Source organism: Homo sapiens, chromosome 1 (genome assembly GCF_000001405.40).
Source record: "Homo sapiens chromosome 1, GRCh38.p14 Primary Assembly".
Lineage (NCBI taxonomy): Eukaryota > Metazoa > Chordata > Mammalia > Primates > Hominidae > Homo > Homo sapiens.
Window position 1 is genome coordinate 20,550,525 of NC_000001.11, and position 5,950 is coordinate 20,556,474.

The 5,950-nt window shown below is 58.6% G+C and overlaps 1 protein-coding gene across 1 annotated transcript, besides 1 other annotated feature; it reads left to right on the top strand.

Moving 5' to 3' along the window:
• Positions 1,083-1,943: an enhancer, noted in NCBI's record as "H3K4me1 hESC enhancer chr1:20878100-20878960 (GRCh37/hg19 assembly coordinates)". NCBI's record gives its function as "activates a minimal SCP1, AML or CMV promoter by ChIP-STARR-seq in naive H9 embryonic stem cells {active_cell/tissue: H9 hESC(naive)}" and the evidence as "EXISTENCE:reporter gene assay evidence [ECO:0000049][PMID:30033119]".
• Positions 2,049-4,496, top strand: FAM43B (family with sequence similarity 43 member B). The gene has a single exon (NM_207334.3). It carries the CDS (start codon positions 2,450-2,452, stop codon positions 3,437-3,439), a length of 990 nt encoding a protein of 329 aa, NP_997217.1. The 5' UTR covers positions 2,049-2,449; the 3' UTR covers positions 3,440-4,496.
• The last annotated feature ends 1,454 nt before the right edge of the window (positions 4,497-5,950 follow it).

Here is a 5,950-nt window from a genome sequence, read left to right on the forward strand (position 1 = left end):
GCATGCCTATGGTCCCAGCTACTCAAGAGGCTGAGATGGGAAGATAGCTTGGGCCTGGGACGTCAAGCTGCAGTGAGCAGTCATCTCTGCTCTCCAACCTGGGAGACAGAGCAAGACCCTGTCTCAAAAAAAAAAAAAAAAAAAAAAAAAAAAAAAGCTTGCAGTTTTCTCTGCCTTGCAAGCTGAGGCTTTGCTTCTGAGCACTCCCACCAGCCCACTGCCAGCGGGGAGAGGGAACCCCCAGTGGCAAGGTCCAGAGAACAGCCCTAGGAGACTCAAGACAGGATACGGCAGAATTTTACAGTGAACTGACTTTCAGGTCAAAACCACATGAAGTCCTTTCCATAAAGGGATTTGGTTGAGTTAATGTCTCCACTGGCCCAGGAGACAAATGTAGCGCCATGGAAAGCACTGCAATGATCACTGGCTTCTCAGAGCCTGTTCTCTCCCCCTGGGAAATGAGACCACATCTGCAGGGTGGGGAACAGTAGGAGACTTACTTTCATGTCCTTCTTCTGTGAATTTTTACCACAAGCACATCTTCCTTTTATAATCAGCAAAAGGTGATAAAGATATTTCCATATTAAAAATGAACCGAGGCTACAACCAACCAGATCATCTGGGAGGCACCCTCCAAACCAAAGATACTGCAATTCGGAGTAATTTCCTGTTCTTTATTTGCATATTATTTTCTTGTTGTGGTTTGTTATTTTACTTATATTCCCCCAGGGATTCTGACCCAGACACTCACTCCTACCCACTGGCAGGATGTTGCTGGCCGAGATAGCACACACTGTCTTCCCAAATCTTCCCACTGCTCCCACTCTCGGAGGTCATGTGGTTTGGCTTGGCCCAGCCCAAGCTCTCAATTCAGCTCCAGCCCAGACCTGGGTTCACTCCTGACCTGGACACCACCCCAGATGACCTGTTCAGAAGCCAAGGAAAGAGCTTGAGTGTTGACTCTGTGAGAGCCCAAGGCAACAAGACTCCTGGTCATATCAGAGCAGTCCTGGAGTTCTAGGGAGCTTGTGGCTTAACCAATCTTGAAAGAGGGAGCTGTGTCCCCACACCCAGGGACAACTGTCTCTCAGTATATCAGAACTTCCTCCCTAGCAGGTCCTCATCACTTCTCATTAGGAGGTCCCGGGGAGCATGGAGGGTTGGGGGCAGCCCCTGGGTCACCAGGGCCTGAGTGGAGCCCTAGTTTTACCTCCTACCAGCCTGAAGACCTTGGGCCAGTCATTTAACTGAGCCTGGGCTTGTTCCAAGAATTAAATAAGAAAATGAATGCTAAACCCCTGGGAACTCACAGGAGTTCACAAATAGGAGTTTATTTAATCATGCGCCCAGAGGCTGCCCTTTCGCCAGAAGGAGCTTTTCAACTGCAATTACCACAGACCCTGTTCTGAAAGTTTCCCCCACCCTCCAAGAGTACCCTCCCTGCTTCAGACCAGGCGAGGGGCACTGCCAGCCACTGCAGCAGCGGCCAGGTCTCTCAGCTCAGGCCCAGCGGTCTGGCCCACGACCTTGGAAGAACCTGGGAGAAAGCTTCACCAAGCGACAGTACTTTTCCACTGCACTGCTCGGCCACCTCGGCTGGCTTTGTGCTGTGCAGACGAGGCAAAGTGCGCCAGGCCAGCCCCTTCAGGAACACCCCCTAACTCCCACTCTCAGAGATGGGGGTAATGACATGCTGTGGGTGAGGGGCAGCAGGAATCGTGGGGCGCGGGGGTTCCCGAATGCGCCAAGGGGAGCTTGGAGACCAGTAGCGAGGCCAAATAAATTAGCATGGACGAAGCCCTCCTGTATATTTCAGGGGATTCCTAGTACTTAACAGCCCTCTCTACCCCCACCCCTCCACTAATAATGATTAAACCCGTTCCACCGCGCCTGTGCAGGGTCCCGGGCAGCGCGAGCCTGCGTGGGGGGAGGGGAGAAGAGGGCAAGGGGAGGGGACAAGAGAGCTAGCGGTCCCGCCCGGTGATGTAGGCAGCCCGGGGAGGTGGAGCCGCGACGCCTGAAGGAGTCCCCACCGCAGCCGCGCTCTCGGTCTGCCCCACTAAGCAGCCGCCAGCGGCTCCGGCGACCCAAATTGCGGCGGCAGGGACCGCGGAAATCCCACCGTTTGGGCTTGGTGGACGTCCAGCCCACCTCACCCCCAGCCCCGGCCCCTCCTCGCTTCCCAGACGGCTGGAGACACTCCCGGGAAAAGCGGTCCTCAGCCACTCGGCCGCCGTCCGCACCTCGGCTGCTGGCCCGGCTGGGCACCGGGCATCTGCGAAGCTAGCCCTGCCTGGCACTGGGCATCTCCAGGCAACGACTGTCCCCGGCCCTGCCCAGCTTCTCGCGACTCCAGGGCGGTGGACTTCTGCGCGCCTTCCCTCCCCCGGTCTCCCGACAGGACGCCGGTGAGCTCCCTGCGCCCCCAGCCCCTTTCGCCGCCGCCGCGATGCTGCCCTGGAGACGTAACAAATTCGTGCTGGTGGAGGACGAGGCCAAGTGCAAGGCGAAGAGCCTGAGTCCGGGGCTCGCCTACACGTCGCTGCTCTCCAGCTTCCTGCGCTCCTGCCCGGACCTGCTGCCCGACTGGCCGCTGGAGCGCTTGGGCCGTGTGTTCCGCAGCCGGCGCCAGAAAGTGGAGCTCAACAAGGAGGACCCGACCTACACCGTGTGGTACCTGGGCAACGCCGTCACCCTGCACGCCAAGGGCGACGGCTGCACCGACGACGCCGTGGGCAAGATCTGGGCTCGCTGCGGGCCTGGCGGGGGCACTAAGATGAAGCTGACGCTGGGGCCGCACGGCATCCGCATGCAGCCGTGCGAGCGCAGCGCCGCCGGGGGTTCGGGGGGCCGCAGGCCGGCGCACGCCTACCTGCTGCCGCGCATCACCTACTGCACGGCGGACGGGCGCCACCCGCGCGTCTTCGCCTGGGTCTACCGCCACCAGGCGCGCCACAAGGCCGTGGTGCTGCGCTGCCACGCTGTGCTGCTGGCGCGGGCGCACAAGGCGCGCGCCCTGGCCCGCCTGCTCCGCCAGACCGCGCTGGCGGCCTTCAGCGACTTCAAGCGCCTGCAGCGCCAGAGCGACGCGCGCCACGTGCGCCAGCAGCATCTCCGCGCTGGGGGCGCCGCCGCCTCGGTGCCCCGCGCCCCACTGCGCCGCCTGCTCAATGCCAAGTGCGCCTACCGGCCGCCGCCGAGCGAGCGCAGCCGCGGGGCGCCGCGCCTCAGCAGCATCCAGGAGGAGGACGAGGAGGAGGAGGAGGACGACGCGGAGGAGCAAGAGGGAGGAGTCCCCCAGCGCGAGCGGCCGGAGGTGCTCAGCCTGGCCCGGGAGCTGAGGACGTGCAGCCTGCGGGGCGCCCCGGCGCCCCCGCCGCCCGCGCAGCCCCGCCGCTGGAAGGCCGGCCCCAGGGAGCGGGCGGGCCAGGCGCGCTGAGAGCCGAAGGACAGGACTCGCAGCCCCAGGCCCGACCCGCCAGACTCACAGCCTCCAACCCCGGCCCTGCCCGCTTCGGCTGCCCCGGCCCCCGGCCCGTGTCTCCCCCGTGGTCTCCGTGTTGTCCGCCCCGCCGCCTCATTTTGGCTCAGGGTGATGCCTGATACGCCCTTGGTTATTGGGGGGTGTTCCTCTCTCCCCACACCCGGAGTTTCCCGGGCCTGCCATTGTGGACCCGCCCCCTATGCTTTACACCTAGTCTCTTTGCCCACAGACCTCCTCATTCCCTCCCAAAACATCCTCTCAAGAGAAGGGAGGAGAAGTTTCAAGAAATCAGGAGGGGTGGGTTTGGACCCTGGGCAGGGTGGAGGCAGTGACCTTGCCCTTGGTCCCTCTAGCCTTCTTCCCTGTGCAAAAAAAAATGACCCTGGAGAGGCATTCTTGTAGGAGAAGAATCTAGCGGCCGGGGAGAATTGGGGCCGGGCCGGCGGTGGGCAGAGTCCGCTGCTATACACACAGGGAGGAATTCTCACGCCCAAGCCCCGCCTCTCTACGCCTTGGAGGACTCCTGTGACTTCACTGCTCTGCCTCTGGAGAACACTGGGAGAGTCCTACCGACGTTCAAACAACAGGTTAGGCCAGGTAACAGCCCTGCACCAGGCCGCTGCCCACGCCTCTGCCCTGGCACCCCCAGGGGATTCCTTGCCCATCCCATCTCTCTGCAGACGGATGTGTGTGGCCCCCTCCTAGGTGCCCCACAACCAGGACCAAGATGGGGCTCCCAAAGGAGGTAAGGAGAACCTTTGGCAGGTGCTTAGGACACTGACTACCTAGAAAGTAGACGCAGCAGAGTTGCTCCCAAGTCGAGGCTCCTCAGAGCAGGTGGGTCCTGACAGCAGTGGATTCTCCCAGCAGGATGAGGAAGGAGGGTGTGTTAACCAACCAAGGGAGTGGGCCCCCCACCCAGGTGTCTCCGCAAGACCACAAAAAGCCCAAAGATCTATGTGTCACTGATCATTGTAAATAAAGTGGACCTGCTTTTACAGCCCTGTCACTACTCCTGTGTTGTGTTTAATGCCAGGCCTGCTGGGGGTGAAAAAATGGATTGAAGATCAGATAAGCCACAGGTGAGCCTGTATAGCTCCCCCTGGTTACCATCAGAAACCTGAAAGTAGTTCTTTTGAGCAGCCAGAGCCAACCCCAGGATTAGGACGGGATCTGGGGACTGCTGCCAGGAAGCTGTTCCTTAATGTCAGAGAAGGAGGCAGTAACTTATGCCTTGTCTGAAAATCACATGTGCCAGGCTCCCTGGAGGGACGTCGGCTGTCTGTCTCAGCCTCCCAGGATGTCTGTACGCCTGGGCACTCAGATGCAGGTGTCTGGGACATTTGGCAGGGAGGGAGCACTGGGCTGGGGGCTTCTCATAAGCATGTATTCATATCTCTGAGAAGGTTCATGTGTATTTCAGAGCATATGGTATAGACTGTGTGTGTGCTCTCAGGGATGAGTGCGAGCAGGTTGTAAGAGAATGTGGTGAGCAGCCCAGTTTTCTTTCAGAGGCTCTGGAAAAACCTGTCCAGACCCTGTGGCAGTGTGAGTCTTCAGCTGGATATCTTCTTTATTCCTGTGCTGAGCTGGGCACTGATCCCAGAGTTACTCAGAACTCAAAAGAGTGGCCTCCGCCATTGCCAGTAATCAGAATGGTTCTGTTTCCTGCAACTGCCAGGAAATAGGACAGCACTGCCGTCTCACCCTGCAGAACCCAGGCATTTCACCCTGCAGAATCCAGGCAGTGTCAGGGGCTTTGGAGGGAAAAGCTGGGGTTGACTCCATATGTCCAGAGTAACAAGAACCCACTGGGCAGGGCCTCCCTGCATGTTCTTTGCCTCCTTCTTACATGTTGCCAGGACTTTTGTTGGTGTTTCTCCCCATTTGCAGAAAAACGGAAGTGGGAAGATGTAAGACCTAGGAATGGACGATGGGCTGCAGGCAGCCTCTGATGTGGCTGAGACAACCCCAGACCTGTCTAGAAACAAGATCACGGCATGCCCTCTTCAATCAAATTCATGCAGCAGATAGTTTCGAACTGCTAGGCACTGGGAGGTCCAGGAGGCCCTCTCTTGCTCTTACATTTGCAATGAGATGCATATAATTAAAGGAGCAGTTACTGTATAATAATTCACAGGTCAGGCACAGTGTCTCATGCTTGTAATTCCAGCACTCTGGGAGGCTGAGGCAGGAGGATTGATTGAGCCCGGGAGTTTGAGGCTGCAGTGAGCTATCATCACCGCCACTGCAGCCTGGGCAACAGAGTTAGACCCTGTCTCTAAAATAGTAGTAATAATAATAATGATTTACAAGCCTGCTGCCAGCTCCCAGCCTCAGCCCCTGCTCTTCCGTTGTTCACCGGCAGCCTCTCAACACACAGACACACACACACACACACACACACACAGCCTCTCGCCTTCCCTCACTCACGCTATGTTCTCTAGACCTGGAATTAGAAGGCCT